Source organism: Homo sapiens, chromosome 16 (genome assembly GCF_000001405.40).
Source record: "Homo sapiens chromosome 16, GRCh38.p14 Primary Assembly".
In the NCBI taxonomy this organism is placed as follows: Eukaryota; Metazoa; Chordata; class Mammalia; order Primates; family Hominidae; genus Homo; species Homo sapiens.
This window is the reverse complement of record NC_000016.10, coordinates 31,402,762-31,423,468: the sequence shown is the minus strand read 5'-3', so window position 1 is coordinate 31,423,468 and position 20,707 is coordinate 31,402,762. Positions and strand designations below refer to the sequence as shown.

General features: G+C 51.4%; 1 protein-coding gene across 18 annotated transcripts in view; it reads right to left on the bottom strand.

Annotated features, from left to right (window-relative positions):
* The window catches only part of ITGAD (integrin subunit alpha D), a 33,171-nt gene that overhangs the window by 3,037 nt on the left and 9,427 nt on the right, over positions 1-20,707 (bottom strand). For 4 of the 18 annotated variants that reach the window (XR_950791.3, XM_011545835.4, XM_017023215.3 and 1 more), the window contains exons 7-25: positions 19,824-19,969; positions 15,801-15,954; positions 15,553-15,703; positions 14,971-15,044; positions 12,945-13,107; positions 12,591-12,733; positions 12,253-12,393; positions 11,952-12,164; positions 10,501-10,631; positions 10,223-10,380; positions 8,864-9,018; positions 8,478-8,609; positions 7,183-7,256; positions 6,823-6,964; positions 5,278-5,394; positions 5,089-5,168; positions 4,854-4,988; positions 277-355; positions 10-117 (exon numbers count right to left, since the gene is read on the bottom strand). Coding sequence is in view for 17 of the 18 variants with exons in the window: in XM_011545835.4 (XP_011544137.1) it covers positions 10-117; positions 277-355; positions 4,854-4,988; positions 5,089-5,168; positions 5,278-5,394; positions 6,823-6,964; positions 7,183-7,256; positions 8,478-8,609; positions 8,864-9,018; positions 10,223-10,380; positions 10,501-10,631; positions 11,952-12,164; positions 12,253-12,393; positions 12,591-12,733; positions 12,945-13,107; positions 14,971-15,044; positions 15,553-15,703; positions 15,801-15,954; positions 19,824-19,969 (2,496 nt within the window). In the remaining variant the exon portion in view is untranslated. Of the gene's footprint in view, positions 1-9; positions 118-276; positions 356-4,853; positions 4,989-5,088; positions 5,169-5,277; positions 5,395-6,822; positions 6,965-7,182; positions 7,257-7,285; positions 7,372-8,477; positions 8,610-8,781; positions 9,019-10,222; positions 10,381-10,500; positions 10,632-11,951; positions 12,165-12,252; positions 12,394-12,590; positions 12,734-12,944; positions 13,108-14,970; positions 15,045-15,552; positions 15,704-15,800; positions 15,955-19,823; positions 19,970-20,707 lie in introns of those variants that run through there. The other 14 variants (NM_005353.3, XM_047434071.1, XM_011545839.3 and 11 more) reach the window with 13 other exon arrangements.

Here is a 20,707-nt window from a genome sequence, read left to right as displayed (position 1 = left end):
GGCGGGTACCTGAGATGGGGCCTCCATGACCACATCCCACACAGCCACCCCGTTCAGCAGGACAGGAACCCAGAAGTTAATGCTGATGGCCAGATCTCGCTGGCTGAGGTTATTCACCTGCAGGAAATCAAGGCAGAGTGTTATTGTGGTCTCTGGAGCCTTCCAAATCCTACTTCCCTCCTGGCCCTACCCCAAGGCTCCTCTCCATCTTCTCCACCAACTTCCAACTTTATCCACAACGTGGAAGGCAGACATGGATACTCCCTAGACTCTCACACGGTATCGATGCTCAGCCTCTTTCATTTTCTTCTCATCGGAGGTTGCAAAGTTGAAGTACTTGGTGGATTCTTCCTGCCTGGAGAGAGAGCCTGTGGGTGAAAAACAGCCCTGAAACTGTCCCCAGTTGTGCCCTGTCCTACTGCAGAGAGCTCTGTTGGGCTGGGCAGATGTCTCAGGGAAATAACGATGGACATTATTTGGCCGGGCACAGTGGCTCATGCCTGTAATCCCAGCACTTTGGGAGGCTGGGGCAGGAGGGTTTCTTGAACCCAGGAGTTCCAGACCAGCTGGGGCAACATCGTGAGACCCTGTCCCTATTCAAAGTAAATAAGTAAAAGATGGTCCCACATAACCTTTGCTGCCTCGGCTTCAGCTCCCCTCCCTCCGATGTCCCTTGCCCCCATCACCCAGATCCACTAGCTCTGCCATGCACACCGCTGGCTCTTTCATAGCCTCATGACTTTGCTCAAGCTCTTCTCCTTGGAACGTTCTTACTGTCTCCAGTTTTGGAAATTTACACTTAAAGACCCAACTTAAACCTCATGTCTCCTACATGGGGCAAAGGCGTTTGCATTGCTTTCTCTAATAGGTAGTGTTTGGCCTCTGGTAATGCTTACAGAGATTGTAGCAGAACAAGTTAGCCTAAGGGGACTCTAGGAATGAGAGCTGGATCACTCAGGAAGACATGGAGTGAGGGCCCCTTCATGGTGGGAATGAAGAAAATAGATTCGGCTGTCCTGGGGCAGGTGAGTAAATGTGAAGGAAGATAGTGCCTGTGCACAAGCCTGTGGAAGGGACATCAGTGTTCCAGGCAGCAGGTGGGGTCTTTCCACCCAAACTTCCTTCAGCAAACACAGGCTGTGTGGTTGGCACTGGGGATTCAAGTTAAGCCATAACTCCCTGCCCTCTCACCACTTAACATCTAAAGTTTTAGTAAAAATGAGCAAGCTGGCCAGGCGAGGTGGCTCACGCCTGTAATCCCAACACTTAGAGAGACTAAGGCAGAAGAATCGCTTGAGCCCAGGAGTTCAAGACTGGCCTGGGCAACACAGAGAGACCTCGTCTCTGCAAAAAAAAAAAAAAATACAAACATTAGCTGCAAGTGGTGGCACACGCCTGTGGTCCCAGCTACTCAGGAGGCTGAGGCAGGAGGATTGCTTGAGCCTGGGAGGTCGAGGCTGCAGTAAGCTATGTTCACACCACTCCCCTCCAGCCTGGGTGACAGAGTGAGACCCTGTCTCAAAACAAACAAAAAGCAAAAGTAAGCAGACCAGCAGAGGGGCCTGCACCTCGCATGCAGCAGCCAGACCAGCCACACAGAAACAGCCCCAGCAGTCCACCCCCCATCAGCCTGATGACTAAAAACATGGGCTCCAGTGTCAAACCGCCTAGGTTCACATCTCAGGTCGACCACTTCCTACCTGAGTCACTGAGGCAAGCCACTTCACGTCTCTGGAAACTGTAGCTTTTCACTCTTTAAAATGGGGATGCAAACCGTAGCAACCTCCCTGTAGTAGAGTTGTGACCAGGGCTTGGTAGTGCCCAGCACACAGGGACTCCTCCATAAATCTTAAGGTTTATTTTTCCCTAAGTATGCCGGTTTTCCTCTGTGCCCCCCACCCCAAACCCTTCTCTCTATGCTTCTGTTTTCTCATCTTAAAATCTAGTTCTAAACCTCTTTTCATTTTTAAAGTTTTATTTTATTTTCATTTTTAATTTTTTTTTTTTGGTAGAGATGGGTTCTCACTATGTTGCCCAGGCTGGTCTTAAACTCCTGGGCTCAAGCCATCCTCCCACTCATGCCTGTAATCCCAGCACTTGGCCTCCCAAAGTGCTGGGATTACAGGCACGAGCCACCGTGCGCAGCCTAAGCCTGTTTTCAGATCTAAGTAAACCACCCAGCTTTCCCCAGTCCTTGGAGAGGCATGCCATGTATGGCCATGGGCATGGGCTCTGCAGCCAAACCGTCTGGGTCTGATTCCTGGTTCTGCTGCCCACTTGGAGATTGACAGGAACAAAGTATTTCACTTCTTGATGTCTTTGTTGGTGAAAATAGGGATAACAATATAATTATTGGTAGGATTAAATAAATGTAAATACATATAAAGTACTTAAGATGGTGTAAGAAAACCACCATAAAACAACAGCAACATAAAACGTGCCTGACATGGGTATATATAACTGTAAGCTCTTATTGTAAGTATTTTCCTGTGGATAGAAAGGGAAACCTACATGTGGCTTGAAAGGACAATGACACTGCTTGATCTCCCTCGCTCCTTCCCCTAACAACTTAATACATCAGAAGCAACAGTGGACAGGTGTGGTGGCTCATGCCTGTAATCCCAGCACTTTGGGAGGCCCTCGGGTGGGGGTGGATCACCTGAGGTCACGAGTTCAAGACCAGCCTAACCAACATGGTGAAACCCTGTCTCTACTAAAAATACAAAACTAGCCAGGCATGGTGGCACATGCCTGTAGTCCCAGCTACTCGAGAGGCTGAGGCAGGAGAATCACTTGAACCTGGGAGGCGGAGATTTCAGTGAGCTGAGATCGCAACATTGCACTCCAGCCTGGGCAACAAGAGTGAAACTCCATCTCAAAAACAAACAAACAAACAAACAAAAAATTAGCTAGATGTGGTTGTGCATGCCTGTAATCCAACTACTCGGGAGGCTGAGGCAGGAGAATCACTTGAACCTGGGAGGTGGAGGTTGCAGTGAGCCCAGATTGCACCACTGAACTCCAGCCTGGGTGAAAGAGTGAGATTCCGTCTAAAAAAAAAAAAGCAATAGCAGCAAACTTTGTCCCACAGCAGTGTTACAGTCTTTCAGCCCAGTGTATGGGATGCCTTGCTCTGCATCCAGCCTCGCCTGCCCCTGTGCCTCCACCACCTGCAGAACCCTCTTGCCTTCAGCCCTACACTTGCCTTTCCTGCGCTGCCTTGGCCAGGCTCTTAAGAGACCTTCCCAACAGTTTCTCACACCTCTGCCCCACTCTGAGTTTTATAGAAACCTGACCTTTCCTTTCCTCTGTGTGGTGACAGACCATATCCTGTTGGGCACAAGCTCCCCAATTCAGGGTGCTCAGAAAAGCCTTGATCTCCATGTAGCAGCTTTGCTTCAGCACATTCACATTTAATACAAAGGACAGAATTTGTTTCATGTTAAAAAAGGAAGCCTTCCTTTTAGAGGGAGAGGGGGAAAGGCACAGTGGTGGCAATGTGTGTGTGTCCCACCAGCAAGTCGATTTGAGAGAAGCAGCAAGAGCTATGGTATATATTATTAGGGTACAAATACACCAAGGATACATTCCAAGAAATTAATCGTTAGGCAATTTCTTTTTCTTTTCTTTTTTTTTCTTTTTTTTTTTTTTTTTTTGAGACAGAGCCTTAATCTGTCACCCCTGAGCTGGCATGCAGCAGCGCGATCTCAGCTCACCGCAATCTCCGCCTCCCAAGTTCAAGCGATTCTCTTGCCTTAACCTCCCCAGTAGCTGGGATTACAGGCGTGTGCCACTGCGCCTGGCTAATGTTTGCGTTTTTAGTAAAGACAAGGTTTCGCCATGTTGGCCAGGCTGGTCTTGAACTCCTGACCTCAGGTGATCCGCCTGCCTCAGCCTCCCAAAGTGCTGGGATTACAGGTGTGAGCCACTGCGCCCGGCCTTAGGCAATTTCATCATTGTGCAAACATCATAGGTTGCACTTATGCAAACCTAGATGGTAGAGCCTACTGCACAGCTAGGTGATATGGTATAGCCTATTGCTCCTGGGCTACAAACCCATGCAGCGTGTTACTGTACTGGATATTGTAGGCAATTGTAACACAATGGAAAGTATTTGTGTATCTAGACATAAAAAAGGCAATGAGTTGCACTACAATGTTACAACTGCTATGACATCATTAGGAGATTTTTCAACTCCGTTATAATTTTAGGAGACCACCCGTAGTAAATGTGGGTCCACTGTTGACAAAAACACCTTTTTTTTTTTTTTTTGTTTGAGACAGAATCTTGCTCTATTGCCCAGGCTGGAGTGCAGTGGCACAATCTCAGCTCACTGCAACCTCCGCCTCCCAGGTTCAAGAGATTCTCCTGCCTTAGCCTCCTGAGTAGCTGGGATTACAGGCATGCGCCACCAGGCCCAGCTAATTTTTTTTTTTTTTTTTTTTGAGACAGAGTCTCCCTCTGTCACCCAGGCTGGAGTGCAGTGGCATGATCTCGGCTCACTGCAACCTCCGCCTCCCGGATTCAAGTGATTCTCCTGCGTCAGCCTCCCAAGTAGCTGGGATTACAGGCACGCATGACCACGCCCAGCTAATTTATTTTGTATTTTTAGTAGAGATGGGGTTTCACCATGTTGGCCAAGCTGGTCTCGAACTCCTGACCTCAGGTGAACCACCTGCCTCAGCCTCCCAAAGTGCTGGGGTTACAGGCGCGAGGTACCGCGCCCAGCCCAGAAACATCTTTATGCAGCATAAATGTCATTATATATGGCCATTCACCCACAAAGGCATCCCAAAACAGGAGAGCTTAGATGTGCATCATTGGAAGAGCAGGCTGGGACTCAGAAGGAGTACCAGGCATAGAGGAAGGCCAGAGGTCCAAGGGGAAGGCCAGGGACTGGGCACCTGCTGATCATGGTGTAGACTGCATACTTCACCGGGAGCTCCAGCTGGAAGGTGGCCTTGCTGCTTGAAGCCTTATTGTTCTCACTGGAGACAGAAAGGAGGGACCAATGGGAAGGAATCCAGGAGAGGGGTCTCTAGCCGGGGCATGCGATGGAGGGTGGGGGATACCCTGGCCTGGACCCACCTGCTTGCACTGGCCCTCATAAGCATCCTGTCTCCCAGGGTGGCCTTGTAGGAGACATCGAATGTGACTATGAAGGTGCCCTGAGGGAAGAAGAAGGAAAGAATGGGGATAAAAGGAAGGGCATGGCAGAGTGAGGGACAGATTGGGACAAGGGAGGACAGTGATGGGGATTTAGGGAGAAGCACTGACGTTAGAGCCCTCATGGAAGATGGGGTGGTTGACACTGCAGCGGCTGCTTCTTAGGCCCTCATCCTCAGTGGGCACTGTCTCACATGCCAGGCGCAGGGCACTCTGATGGGGCTGCTTCTAGGGGAGGAGAATGAATTTTAAGAAGTTACCCGCATGCATGTGTGGGCTTGATACACAGCAGTGGTGGCACTGCAGAGCACTAGGGAAAATGACAGACTTTTCTTTTTTTGTTGTTGTTTTTTTTTGAGACGGATTTCACTCTTGTCACCCAGGCTGGAGTGCAATGGCATGATCGTGGTTCACTGCAACCTCCACCTCCTGGGTTCAAGCAATTCCCCTGCCACAGGCTCTTGAGTAGCTGGGATTACAGGTGCCTGCCACCATGCCTGGCTAATATTTTTGTATTTTCAGTAGAAATGGGGTTTCACCATGTTGGCCAGGCCAGTCTCAAACTCCTGACCTCAGGTGATCCACCCGCCTTGGCCTCCCAAAGTGCTGGGATTACAGGTGTGAGCCACTGCACCCGGCCAAGGACAGACTTTTCAATCAATTTCCATCAATGCCAGGAAAATTGACCCATACAAAAAATTTTTTAAAAAGCAGAAGAAAAGTAAAGAAAGTACAAGAGGAAGAGGAGGAGAAAGAAGAAAAAGAAATTGGATCCCTACCTCACTCCATAAATTAAAATAAATTCCAACTGGATTAAATACTTAAATGTGAAAAAGCAAAACCATGAAGCTTTTGGAATATAATATAGGGGGCTATTTTCATAACCTGGAAGTGTTTCTTAAATAAGACCCACACACAGAAACAATATGGTCAGGTGTGGTGGTTCACACCTGTAATCTCAGCACTTTAAGGGCTGAGGTGGGAGGATTACTTGAGCCCAGGAGTTTGAGACCAGCCTGGGCAGCATGGTGAGACCCTGTCTCTAAAAAATAAATAAATAAATAAATAAATAAATAAATAAATAAATAAATATTAGCTGGGCGTAGTGGCATGCACCTGTAGTCCCAGCTACTTGGGAGGCTGACGTGGGAGGATTGCTTGAGCCCAAGAGGTCTAGGCTGCAGTGAGTGGTGATTGTGCCACTGCACTCCAGCCTGGGTGACAGAGTAAGACTCAGTCTCAAAAAAAAGAGGGAGGGAGGGAGGGAGGGAGGAAGTAAGGGAGGGAGGGAGGGGGGAGGGAGGGGGGAAGGAGAGAGAGAGAGAGATACAAGGAAATGACCACAAAGTCAGAATAGTGATGACCTTTGGGGACAGGATGGAGCTGTGATGGGGAAAGGTAAACAGGGAGGGGGTTCTGGGGATGCTAGCAGTGATTTATTTCTTGATCTGGATGTTAACTCTATGGTTTGTTTAATATTATTCATTAAACCGTATGTATGCTTTATGCACTTTCTCTGTGTGTATGTGTGTGTGTGTGAGAGAGAGAGAGAGAGCACATATCATCACAGAACAATTTTGAAGAACACTGTGTAACTCCCGGGGCTACAGGGCAGGGGAGAGGCCCCCTCCCACTAGAGCCTACAGCAGTTGTTACCTGGGCTCCTGACACCCGTCGGTGCGACAGCCCTGCTGGATAGTAGAGGCTGACCACGGTTCCGTAGGAATCCTCACCTGCGTTCCACACAGTCACAATCACGTTGAGCTCCAGGGAGCTCCCCACGGTCAGGGTCTGCAGGCTGAAGGGGAAGGACGAGGCTGGGAGTGGCGCTCCACTGGAAATAGGTGGGAACTGGGAAGGGCAGGGCAGAATCCCAGGAACTCTGGAGCTCTGGGCCAATAACAATCCAGTGAACATCACTTTTGTTAGAAAGAGCCAGAGAGCAGCACAAGCATCCCAGGAGGATGGGGGACTCAGAAGCCTGAGTGTCTGGATATGAAGGGAGTTACAGCTCACCCTGAGAAGCTGAGGGTGACACCCAGGTCCCCTTCACAGAGGCCATCTTGCCCACAGTTCTTCTCGAAGGGGAGCTGCAGCAAAATAGTATATTCTGTTCCCATCTGACATCTTAGTCTTTCTCCAAGCCCCTCCTTAGAAGCACTCTCCAACATTGAGCATTACTAAGCCACTGCCCCCAGCACTTTGCTGGACACCAACAAGGGGCGCAGGTGCGGTTTGGAGGTTGGCATATAAAAGAAAGATAAGACAAGATCCTTGGCTTCAAGGGACATAAAGTTCAGTTGAGTTACATCCAGCTTATCCTGGAACAATTATTCCACAAACATTATTAAGTGCCAATAATTGTGCAGGTTCTGGGTTGGGCGAGGGCTGGGGGAAGGTGGAAATGACAGGCAAATTCGACATGGTTCCTATGCTCAAAGAAACTACAGTCCCAAGACAGCCTCAAATGTAGATGCAGATGGTTATAACAGCCATGTGATATCTGCTGTGGCACCACCTTGGTGTAACAGGGACCAGAGAAGGAGCGGCAGATGCTGAGTGTGGCCTTCAGAAGAGAGGGAGGTAAGGCTGGAGCTTCGGGGGAAAACGGGGAGAGAAGGCAGAAGGCACTGTTTTCCAAGTGAGGGGCGAAACAGGGACAAAGGCACAGAGGTAGGAATGAGGAAACTTGGGAGGGATCTGGGAATGAACAAGAGAGTCTGTGCTAGGGAAAAGTGGGAACTGCCTAGGATGTGTACAGTTCCTGGGTGTGTGGATGGAGGTGGGAGAAGGGCCTAAGACCAGAAGGGAGAGCGAGGCTGGCGCATTTATGAAAAGCGTGCCTAGTAAGGGCGAGTGGGATGCCGTGAAGCCAGAGAGGCCAGGAGGCCAAGTCAGAGAGGACATCAGAGGGAAGGACTGGGATCTTTGTAAATGCAAGGGGGATTACGCAGGGGAGTGAAGAGCCTAGATTTGCATTTTAGGACCAGTCGACTCTAGCTCCTCTATGGAAAATGGGTGGGAGGATACAACAATAGATATGGGAACCATTTCGTGTCAACTCTGGTGTAGGTGGGAGAGAATCGAGGGGCTGGGGGAAGGCAGCAGCTGGGACCAGGAGGAGAAATGGGTGGACTTCATGTCAGTCCTGGAGACAGAACCCACAGGCCTGGGTGTGAGGAGGAAGGGAGAGACTGGAGTCAGGTTTCTGGACTGGATGTGGTTGGGTGTTGGGGAGCTACAGTGGATTCTTAAGCTCATGGAGACAAAATGAAGTCAGCACATCCCTGGGACTTCATCAGAAGACTCACAGAAGCAGTGAAGAGGTCTTGTGAGCCCACGGCCAGCACAGGACGCAGGTTCTGGGGGGAGGGGATGGGCTCTCTCACCAGTGAGAAGTTGAGGTGCAGAATGATGGGGCTCACCACATCCTCCACACAATCCTGAGAGAGAACAGGCTTTCAAGAACCTGCTGTCCTCTCTACGCTCCACCACAAGTCCTCCTCCACTGCATCCACTCCCCACTGCCCTGACAGTGCTCCCTCCAAGCCGTGGAGCCAGGTTCTCCTGCCCTAATGTCCCTCTCTCCAGCCCCAACATCCTAACCCTTCCCACCTCGCTCAGCAGAGAACGGGGGTGCTCCAGGCCAGCCTTGGGCTCCTCCTCTCTCCCCCTTCCCAGAACCCAAAGTCCTCACTGGCAAAAGCAGCTTCAGGGTTTCACAGTGAATCCCCAGTCCCAGGGTTTTTCTTCGAGTCAAAGTGGGGTTCTTGGTTTCATTGAAAATGGCACGAGAAGTCAGACGACCTGGGTCCAGTGCCAGATCAAACCTGACAGAGCTTTGGATGTCACCTGAAGTGCAGGGGAGAGTGCAAAATGAAAAGGCAGAAATAACCTAGAATGCTCTGTTTTCATTATTTGTTCATGCAATACATGTTTGCTGGACACTGCTATGGGCCATGAACTGTACCACGTGCTGGGGATACATGTGAAGAAGATAGATGGACGGATAGATGATGGATGGATGGATGGATGGATGGATGGATGGATGGATGGCTAGATAATAGATAAATAGATGATAGATTAAATAGGTGACAGATTAGATAGACAGATGATAGATAATAGATGATAGATTTGGTAGAGGATAGATTAGATAGGTGATAGATGATAGATAATAGGTGATAGATTGGTAGATAGATGATAGATTAGATAGGTGATTAGATTAATAGATAATAGATAGATGACAGATTTGGCAGATAGATGATAGATTAGCTAGCTAGATAGATATGGCCCCCACTCTCATGAACCTCACAATCTAAGAAAGAAGCCAAGCACATGGGACGTGATGTTGCAGCGTGATCAGTGCGAGGGGAGGCTCTCCTGTGGTTCTAAGGAGAGCATGCTTGCTGGACCTGGCCAGGCTGCCATCCCGGATGGACCATGGCTAAGCAGCCACCTGGAGAATGAGCAGGAGCCAGGTGAGGAGTGGGGAGAACATCCGGGACCATGGGAACAGGGCCTAAGACCAGAAGGGAGAGCAAAGCTGGTGCATTTACGAAAAGCGTGCCTAGTAAGGAGGAGTGGGATGCTATGAGGTCAGAGAGGCCAGGAGGCCAAGTCAGAGAGGGCACTGGAGGGAAGGACTGGAGTCTTTGTAAATGCAAGGCGGGTTACGCAGGGGAGTGAGGAGCCCAGATTTGCATTTTAGGACCAGTCGACTCTAGTTCCTCTGTGGAAAATGGGTGGGAGGGTGCAAGAAGAGATGTGGGAACTGCTTCATGTCATGACTTTGGTGTAGGTGGAAGGGAATCAGGGGCTGGGGGAAGGCAGTGGCTGGGGCCCAGGAGAGAACTGGGTGGACTTCAGGTCAGCCCTGGAGACAGAATCCACAGGCCCAGGTGTGAGGAAGAGGGGAGAGAATGAGCCAGGTTTCTGGCACAGGTGGTGAGTGAATGTGGAGGTAAGATTGGATTCCTAGGCCCATCCCATCCTCAGGATGGCATTGGGGCCCCTAATGGAATGAGGGGCCTGGGCCCCCTTTATGGGGGAAACACACCTAGCTGGTCCAGTGAGCTTTTCTGGATGGTGAGACAGACGGTGGCGTCCCCAGCTTCCAGGGCACTGGGCTTCTCTTCCCAGCACCGGTACACAGCCTTGGCCACCTCCACAGGGCTGAATCTCATGGCCACCCCCACTTTCAGCACCGGCAGACTCCTGAGGGGCAGAGTAGTGGGGAGGACAGAACACTGGCTTCTGGGAGGATAACGTGGCTGGGGAGGCAGCACCGGTGAATCAGACACAGCGCGGGAGGGCAGGATGTTGGGGAGTCGCTACCTGAGCAGGAGCACCTGGCCCCGGGCCCCCACGGCCAGGTCCATCAGTCCATCCTGGGTGAGGTCCTGACCCCCACTCAGCGCCTGCCCAAAATACTGCAGCCTGGGGGAGAGCTGGGAGCTGGCAATCCGCTGGCCAGAAGAGAAAAGGGTGAATCAGGCTGGAAGATGGGGGAAGAAGTTGGAAATAAGTAACAAGGGGAATATGGAGGTAGGATGGTGGCAAAGGGAGAGAAGGGGTGAGCTGTGAACAGATGTCACCAACAAGAGCCTGAAAAGAGGAGGTAGGAGTCGGGAGATGATTGCTAAGAAATAGATGTAGGAGTGGAGATTGGAAGGGTGTCCTGGTGACCCGAGTGTCATTCATTCAATCAATCTCTAGTTCCAATTCTGACTCCTCCACGTATGAGCCACGAGGCCGTGGGCAAGGACTCAATCTGTCTGTCCCTCCGTTTGCTCATCTTTCCAGCAACCCGCTGGCCAGAGAGATGGGAGTGGCGGAAGTCAAAGGGAGGTGATGGGAAAGGTTTGAGAGGAGAGATTTGGAAAACAGATTGTGGTGAAAGAGGATCAGAAGACAGAAATTGGAAAGGAGAGATGTGGAGATAGAAATTGAAAGCAAATACAGCCAGGCGGAGTGGCTCACGCTTGTAATCCGAGCACTTTGGGAGGCTGAGACAAGCAGATCACCTGAGGTCAGGAGTTCGAGACCAGCCTGGCCAACATGGTGAAACCCCATCTCTACTAAAAATACAAAAATTAGCCGGGTATGGTGGCAGAAGCCTATAATCTCAGCTACTCGGGAGGCTACTCGGGAGGTTGCAGTGAGCCAAGATTACGCCACTGCACTCCAGCCTGGGCGACAGAGTGAGACTCTGTCTCAAAAAAAAAAGAAAAAAAAAAAGCAAACAGGGTGAGGACCTCGGGACCCCCAAACAGAGAAGGGGGCTCTTTGGGTCCAACCCGTCATGAGGGTGCAGGTTGGTGAGGAAGTAAGAGCGTAACAATAGGCGTATAATATATTTGTGTATTCATCACTGGTCAGGTCACTCATGAACCTTCAGTGAGTGCAGTGGTGATTGCCTTAGCACTCTCACTGTTATTTCTACAAGAGGCCTAAGGAGTTGGTTTTATCATTTCTGCGTTTTATAGAAAGAAACTAAGGCTGACCAAGGCTGTCAGTCACCTGCCTAAGGCCACACAGCTCAGGATGGCCGGCCCGGCCAGGGATTTGAACTGGCCTCTGACCTCAAAGTCTGCTCTCCTAACCATTAAGCTGCCCACACAGATGGAAGGCTTTCTGGAACAAAGGAGAGAAGAGAGATGACGTGTGCTTAGCTGACAAACCACTGCAACAAGGAAGGGAATGGTGACAGAGACAGGAGGCTGCGTTCAGTGAACTCAGGACATGGGAAGGAGCTGGGACTAAAAGAGGCTGAAGACGGGCCTCACCTGGCTGTGGGAGGGGCTGATGCCGGATTCTGAGGCTCCGTGAAACAGGTAGACAGCACCCCGGTTCTCCTGCTCTCCCGGGGCCCCAATGGCCACGTCTATCAGCTTGTCCTCATTCACATCCCCCAACACTGTCAGGGCTGCCCCAAAGCGGCCCCAGGGGTGGCCCTGCTCACCACGGAGAACAGCGTCACACTGCCACTGCACCCTCTGCTGAACACAAGCAGTGTCAGACCCCAATCCAGGTGACGCCTCCACTCACACCGGACCCCACCCAGCCTAGGTCCCATCAGCCACTCACCCCCCTAGGCAAGGGACACACGGACACCTGGCCCCCTCGGGTCTGCTCATAGTAATGGGGGGCCCCAATGAGGATCAGGTCGGTGCTGCCATCGCTGTCCACATCCACAGAGCAGAGGGAGGCCCCGAAGTAGGAGCCGATCTGGAGGGCAGAGCCTGGGTCATGCTGCCTGTCCCAGCCAGAGGCAGCCCTGTGGGCCAGGGTCCCGCCTCTCCCCAGGTACCAGGACCTCTCCCAAGGCCCCCAAAGCCCCTCCATCCTCTCCCTAGCCCCGGCCACTGTCCCCACCCTCATCCTCCCCACCCTCATCCTCCCCTCTGGCTCCTGTCACGCCCAACCTGCGTCCCTGTGACTTCGGCCTTCTTCCTCCATTGCCTGGACACCTGGGTGAAGATGACAGCCTTCCCGGTATGCTGGTAGCGGGGGGCCCCCAGGACCAGGTTCTGTACCCCCTTCCACAGGGCTAGCTCGGTGGAGTAACCTGAGGGGCCCAGGCCTCAGCACAAAGGCCCCCATTCCCCCTCCCCAGAACCCTGGACCCCCACCCCAGGCAGCGCAGCCCCCATCTCCCCTCCCCAGAACCCTGGAACCCACCCCAGGCAGCACAGCGCCCATCCCCCCTCCCCAGAACCCTGGACCCCACCCTGGGCAGTGCATCTCCAACCTGTCCCCAACCCCTGGCCGTTTCTCACCCAGGTAAGAGTCCCTCATGTCCACATTCTCCTGAGACATGTTGATGAAGGTGGGGCTCATATTTGGGGGATACAGGAAGGCACCTCCAGACCAGCTAAAGCTCCCCACAGCCCCCAGGAAGAGGCCATCCTGGGAGGAAAGAATTCCAGGGCTGGGCAGAGACTAGAGCGGGAAGACAGCATATCCCAGAGACACGCCTGCCACCCGCATCACTCGCCATCCAGGCTTTTCTTCTCTGTCTTCCCGGCCCGCACCAGCAGCCTCTGTGCCTCTGCCTGTCCCCACAGCCACTGCTCCGCCAGCCCCCTCTCCTCTCACTCTCCACCCTGTCTGCCCCCGCTGTGCTCACCACTGCCTCTCTGTCTACTGCCCCAGTGCCAGGCTTTCCCAAACCCAAATGTGCAGCCACCCCTGCTGGAAAACCATCACCAAGGCCCTTACGGTGGTACCTAGGACCCTTCCCCATCAAAGCCATGGAGCCTCCCTCTGTTCCAAAGCACATCAAGCCTTTGGCCAGGACACCTCCCTCCCCTTCTTGTTTTCTGGGACTCAGCTCATTTCCCCTCCCTGGAAGAGTCAACTTCATCCTTTCTTTTTTTTTTTTTTTTTTTTGAGACAGGCTGTTGCTCTGTCACACAGGCTGTGATGCAGTGGCACAATCATCGCTCACTGCAGTCTTGAACTCCTGGACTCATGCAATCCCCCCATCTCAGCCTCCTGAGTAGTTGAGACCACAGGCATGTGCCACCATGCCTGGCTAATTTTTTTTTATTTTTTGTAGAGACAGGGTCTCACTATGTTGCCCAGGCTGATCTCAAACTCCTGGCCTCAAGTGACCCTCCCACGTCAGCCTCTTAAAATGTTGGGATTACAGGTGTGAGTCACTATGCCCAGCTGGAAAAGTCAACGTCAATGTCGCCTCCTCTGTGAGGTCTTCCTCAGCTCCTTCAGGGAGCCACAGGCATTTCCTCCTGGGTGTACTTTGTTTATTGCTTTCTTGAACTTTTGATATGGATAATTTAGAACACATACAGAAGTAGAAATAAATGTATAATGAACCCCCAAGTATGTGTGACCTACCTTGAGTGATCAATTCTTGACCAATCTTATTTCATTTCACCACCCCCTAGACACCCCCAAATTACTCTGAAGTAAACCCATCTGGGTTTGTTTTTGTTTTTTTTTGCTTTGTTTTGTTTTGTTTTTGTTTTTGTTGTTGTTGTTGTTTTGAGACAGAGACTCGTTCTGTCACCTAGGCTGAAGTGCAGTGGCACAATCTCGGCTCAGTGCAACCTCTGCCTCCTGGGTTCAAGCAATTCTCCTGCCTTGGCCTCCCAAGTAGCTAGGATTACAGGCATGAGCCACCACACCTGGCTAATTTTTTTGTATTTTTAGTAGAGGTGGGGTTTCGCCATGTTGGCCAGTTGGTCTCAAACTCCTGACCTCAAGTGATCCGCCCGTCTCAGCCTCCCAAAGTGCTGGGATTACAGGCATGAGCCACAGTGACCGGCCCCATCTGGATCCTTTGAACACACACGCACTTCCAAACCACATCTTTGATCCCACCTGGTCCTTCTCAGCCTCCAGCCCTCTCCTTCCAGGCTGCCTGGGCTCCCTGGGCTCTGGCAAGCCCGGATCTCTCCCGCCGAGGACCTGGGTCCTGCCTCAGGACCTTGGCACTTGCTTTGTCCTGTGCCCAGAACAGTCTCCCCTGATTTGTCCAGGGCTGGCCTTTTCCATTACTGAGGCTCCTCTGGCTATCTCTCTCTCTACCCTGATGCTTAGTGCTATCTGAGAGGCTCTTGCTTACTGTCTCCTCCACTAGAATACATGATCCTTGAGAGCAGGAACCCAGGCTACCCTCCTCCCTGCTGTGCTCCTGGCCCCTAACACACGCGTGGGGGCCTCTCCCTGGCGATTGAGGATGGGGTCTGCTCTTGTTTATGTCTGGCTCCCAGCCCCCAGCCCAGGGTGGGTGCAGAGTTGGTATCCAAGAGCTATGGATTGAGGGCAGGCTCTACCCACCATTGTGAGGGCTGTGCTGAAGCCTTCTTGGGACATCTCGTGCTGGAAGGAGCTGCTTGCCCTGGACTGGGTTCCTGTGGGGAAACAGGTCAGTGAAGTTCCTAGAAGCCATGAGACCCATGAGGACTCAGAACACAGGGAGGAGAACATGATCTGAGGCTTGGGTTCCAGACAGCAATTTTGAGTGAGTTGTGAACAGGAATGGCCCATCAAGACTGTGCGGGACAGGCTGGGCGCAGTGGCTCACGCCTGTAATCCCAGCACTTTGAGAAGCTAAGGTTGGCGGATCACCTGAGGTCAGGAGTTCGAGATCAGCCTGGCCAACATGACAAAACCCCGCCTCTACTAAAAATACAAAAATTAGCTGGGCATGGTGGTGCGTGTCTGTAATCCCAGGTACTCAGGAGGCTGAGGCGAGAGAATCACTTGAACCCAGGAGGCAGAGGTTGCAGTGAGCCGAGATCGTGCCACTACACTCCAGCCTGGGGACAAAGTGAGACTCCATCTCAAAAAAAAAAAGCCTGCACGGGACAATTGGGTGGGGACCCCTTGGCTCCCAGGCGCACCCTTGCTTCCATTTACCCTCAACTGCATAGATCTTCTCCTGCAGCTGCTTCTGGATGCTGCCAAGGGCTGCAAAGTTGTCCACCTTGAACACGTGGTCCTGCGGAGGCGCTGAGCTGATGGTATTCAGCTCCTGCCTGGCAGTGGGTCCCTGGAAAGCGTGTCCCACCTGCAGCAGAGAGACAGCCGAGGAGGATGAGCCCAGCAGCACTGCACCTGAAGGAGATGCAGGCTGAGCCTGGGGCAGGGGTGAAGAAGAGGCGCACCCCGATAGCGTAGCGGATGATGCCAGCCTTCTCTGCCTGGGGGATGACATCACTGTATTCCAGGGGGTCTTTGTACTTCTGCCCATCTGTGATGACAATGAGGATCTTCTTGGCACTTTTTCGGGCCCCATTCTTATGATGAAATAGCTGTGTCCTGTCGGGGAGGAAAGGAAGATGACTCTACTGAGATGTGATTGATTCTGGAAAGACATCATTTGCAGTCCTCTCATCTGGAGAGGCTGGGGAGTCCTGGCACCCTCACATTCTATCAGGCATGTTAAGGAATTGATTTTGCCGTTTTGGGTTTTCTTTTGAGACAGAGTCTCGCTCTGATGCCCAGGCTCTGGAGTGCAGTGGCGTGATCTCCACTCACTGCAACCTCCGTCTCCCGGGTTCAAGTGATTCTCCTGCCTCAGCCTCCTGAGTAGTTGGGATTATGGGTGCCCACCACCATGACTGGCTAATTTTTGTATTTTTAGTAGAGAGGAGGTTTTACCATGTTGGCCAGGCTGATCTCAAACTCCTGACATCAAGTGATCCACCAGCCTCAGCCTCCCAAAGTGCTGGGATTGCAGGCGTGAGCCACCATGCCCAGCTAATTTGGCCATTTTTGAAAGCCACACAAACCATAATTAGATCAATAATAAAAAAAGTCACATTCTTTGTTTCTAAATTCTATCCATGGCTGAACTCTCTTCCCCAGAGGCAGTGTGGTTCAAAGCAGGGGCTTTGGAGTCAGACACACTTTGGGCATGGGACTTAACCTCTCCGGGCCTCTGCCTTTCTCCATGCATGATGAGGATAACTGTGCTGTAGCTGTCTCAAAAGATGGCCCCCAGTGAACCACACCTGGTTCCCTCCCACACTGGACCTGGCCTGGCTGAGTCCCACTCTCATCAGTAACGTGCGGTGGAAGTGACACCATGCCAGTTATAGGTCTCAGAAGCCTTGGTTTCTTCGGCTTTTGCACTTTTGGAAGCCCTGAGCCACGATGAGAGAAGTCCAGCTGCCTTATTGGAGGCACCCATGGAGGAAGGCCACCTGAAATAAGAGGCTCAGCCGTCCCCACCAAGCCTGCCTTCCAGCATATCCCCCACAGGCACCAGACACCAGCTTAGTGCTGGATTGTTTAACCCACTTAATTTGGGGATGGTTTGTTAGGCAACAGTAGATAACTGAAACAATTAGTGTCAGATTATCCTGAAGATTAAACAAGGTCAAGCTTTTACAGTGAATGGCCTACGGTGACTACTAATTAGATAACAGCTGTAACAAACAATTAAAAATGTAACTATCGGCCGGGCACAGTGGCCCACACCTGTAATCCCAGCACTTTGGGAAGCCAAAGTGGGAGGATCACGAGGTCAGGAGTTTGCGACCAGCCTGACCAACATGGTGAAACCCCATCTCTACTAAAAATACAAAAATTAGCCAGGTATGGTGGCGCGTGCCTGTAATCCCAGCTACTCAGGAGGCTGAGGCAGGAGAATTGTTTGAACCTGGGAGATGGAGGTTGCAGTGAGCCGAGATCATGCCGTTGCACTCCAGCCTGGGCGACAGAGCAAGACTCCGTCTCAAAAAAAAAGAAAAAAAAAAGTAACTACCTGCTCATGTAACTCTATAAACTCAGATAAACTCAGAGCAAATACACACAGGTGTCAAATACAATATTGGAAATAACCCAAATATCCAACACTGGGGAAAGGGTTTAGCCAGTCATGACCTAGCCTGTTAGTAGACACAGCCATTTCAAAGGAAAGCAGTATGGGAGGCCGAGGCAGGAGGCTCTCTCGAGGCCCGGAGTTCAAGACCAGCCTGGGCAATAAAGCAAGACCCCATATCTACAAAAAATGTTTTTTAAAATTAGCCAGATGTGGTGGCATGCACCTGTGATCCCAACTCGGGAGGCTGAGTCAGGAGGATTGTTGAGCCCAGGAGCTGGAGGCTGCAGTGAGCCGTGATCGTGCCACCGCACCCCAGCCTGGGAGACAGAGTGAGACCTGTCTCAAAAAAAAAAAAAAAAAAAAAGGAAAACAAAAAATTGTGGACCTAGATGAGGGGGAAAAAAACCCAGACAGGATGAAAATAGCTTCTGCCCTGAATGTGACCATACAAAATAAGCCTGAATAAAGATGAGTATGGAAGTGGCATTGTGCTATGCAGCTGAGATTTATTGATTCACTTGTAAGTATCCCTTGATGTTACTAAAATACTGTAGGGCGGTTGACTAGAGGGACTGTGGGTAATATAATACTTCTTTTAAAAAAAGTTTCCTTACCATTATTGCCGTTTGGGTTTTGCTTTGTTTTTGTTTTTTTGTAATAAAACTTCTTTTTAAAAAAAGAAGACAAGAAAGAAAGGGAAGAAAAGAAAGAGAAGGAAGAGGCTGGGCATGGTGGCTCACGCCTGTAATCCCAGCATTTGGGAGGCTGAGGCAGGCAGATCACTTGAGGTCAGGAGTTCGAGACCAGCCTGGCCAACATGGTGAAACCCCATCTCTACTAAAAATACAAACATTAGCCAGGTGTGGTGGTGCGGGCCTGTAGTCCCAGCTACTCAGAGGTTGAGGCAGGAGAATTGCTTGAACTTGGAATACAAAAATCAGCCGGGCATGGTGGTGTGCACTTGTAATCCCAGCTACTTGGGAAACTGAGGCAGGAGAATCCAGGAACCCAGAAGATGGAGGTGGCAGTAAGCCAAGATTGTGCCATTGCACTCCAGCCTGAGCAACAGAGCAAGACTCTGTCTAAAATACAAAACAGAGTGAGAGAAGAAATGAAGTGAGGGAGGGAAGGGAGGGAAGGGAGAAAGGGAGGAAGAGAGGAAGGGAAGAAAGGAAGGAGGGAAAGAGGGAGGGAGGGAGAAAGGAAGGGAGGGAGGGAAGGGAAGGACCGGCAGCAGGGAGGTCCAATCCTTGGCTGAGTCCAGCCCTGAGATGGGCTTGGCTCTGGGGAGCAAAGGCTGCTGGGAAATTTCCTGCAGTCTGGGCATGAGAGCAGGACTGGAGTTGGTGAGAACCACTCGGTCACCCCTGCCTCATTCATTTTTTTCCCCAGGCCCCACCACTGGAAGAACTTTGAGGGGTGAGGTGGAGACTCCAGAATGGGACACTCCCGTGTGACTTTAAACTTACAGGACAGACGGAGGCCTTCCTCTGGGTTGCTGAGTCACAAGGGGCCACCGTTCAAGGCAGAAGAGCCTCCCAGAAGTAAAGAGGGTGCGTTTGGTGGGAGCATCTCTTGTTTAAGCCAAATTCTAGCACCACCCCAGGGCTGCTCCCAGGGGTGTGTGCAGGAAGCCAAGGATCCCCGACCGTCAGCCCAGCTCCTTCCTACAAGAACCACATGCCTTTCTCGGGGGTCCCACCTCCTACATCGTTTTAGGAATAGACTGCATGTGCACGGGGCAGGCCCACGGTGAGTGCCTGGGTAGCACAGGGGGTGCGCAGGGGTGAGGGATGCGGGAGAGGAGGTGAGTGGGGAGAAAGGCACCAGGACGACCTTGGGTGACAATTCCTGAGTCCCTGACTACTCCATTCTCTGATAAAACCTCAGGCATTTATCCGACACCTCCTACGTGCCCCGGGCTGAGCACCCCACACACATGATCTCAATCCTAAGCTGTGAGCTTATCTTCATCTGAGAGTTACTGAGACTTAGAGCCCATCACCCCAGGGTTACACCCAGAGTAGCTCACGGGGAGCCAGGATGGGAGCCTGATGTGTCTGAGCCAAAGCCCGGGCCTCTGGCTGCTGTGGGGTGGGGAGGGGTCCTGGGGTCCAGGCTCTGCAGAACCAGGCAAAGGGGAGGCATAGCTGCAGAGGAGCCTAGTCCTATATCAGGGAGACTGGCAGCGAGGCAACCAGGAGCACCCCGGGGGGAGGTTCTCCCTGCAGCCCCGACATGCCCCTTGGTAGCCCCTTTCCCTGGAGCCTCCCTCAGCCTCTGAGAAGAGCTGTGCTGACCCAGGGTTAGGAAGTGGGGGTGGCAGTCACATCGCCAGGCTGGGGTCGGGGTTGCTTACACCACTGTCAGGATGCCCGTGGCCGTGAACGTCAGGCCTTTCAGTTGGACGATGGGATCCACCAGGCTCTGCTGGCTCGGGCTGGTCCGGAATTGGGTGAAGGTGAAGTGGATCTTCAGGAGGTTTGAGTACTGCATCAGTGCAAACTGCAAAGGCCAGTGGGGAGGGCCCAGGGCTCAGTGCCTGTTACTATTGTTTTTATTTTAATTTTTTGTAGAGACAGGGTCTCTCAAACTCCTGGCCTCAAGTGATCCTCCTGCCTCAGCCTCCAAGTAGCTGGAACTACAGGCACACGTCACATGCCTGGCTTTGTTTTTTGTTTTGTTTTGTTTTTGGTAGAGACAAGGTCTCACTATGTTGCCCAGGCTGGTCTCGAACTCTTGGCCTCAAGCAATACTCCCACCTCAGCCTCCCAAAGTGCTGGGATTACAGGTGTGAGCCACCACACCAAGCCATATTGTTTTCAGTTTTAATAAACTTTATTTTGGAATTATTTTGGATTTACAAACCATTTCCCATGTGTTTTGAAGCCCTACAAATAATATACTGAAACCCAGAGAAGAAAATTCATTGGCCCAAAAATACAAAATATAAACTGGAAAATCTAAACCAAATGATATTTCCTTCACAGTTTATTAAAAATAACTTTGCCAACCACAATATTTGCTACCCTTAGCTTTTTAAAAATTTTATCACACATTAAATCAATTTGTGTATTTCCTCCCTTCTCAAGAATTTGTGGCTGGGCGTAGTGACTCATGCCTGTAATCCCAGCACTTTGAGAGGCCAAGGTGGGAGGGTTGTTTGAGCCAGGAGTTGGAGACCAGGTTGGGCAATATAACAAGACCCCATCTCTACAATAAAAATTTTTAAAAATTAGCCAG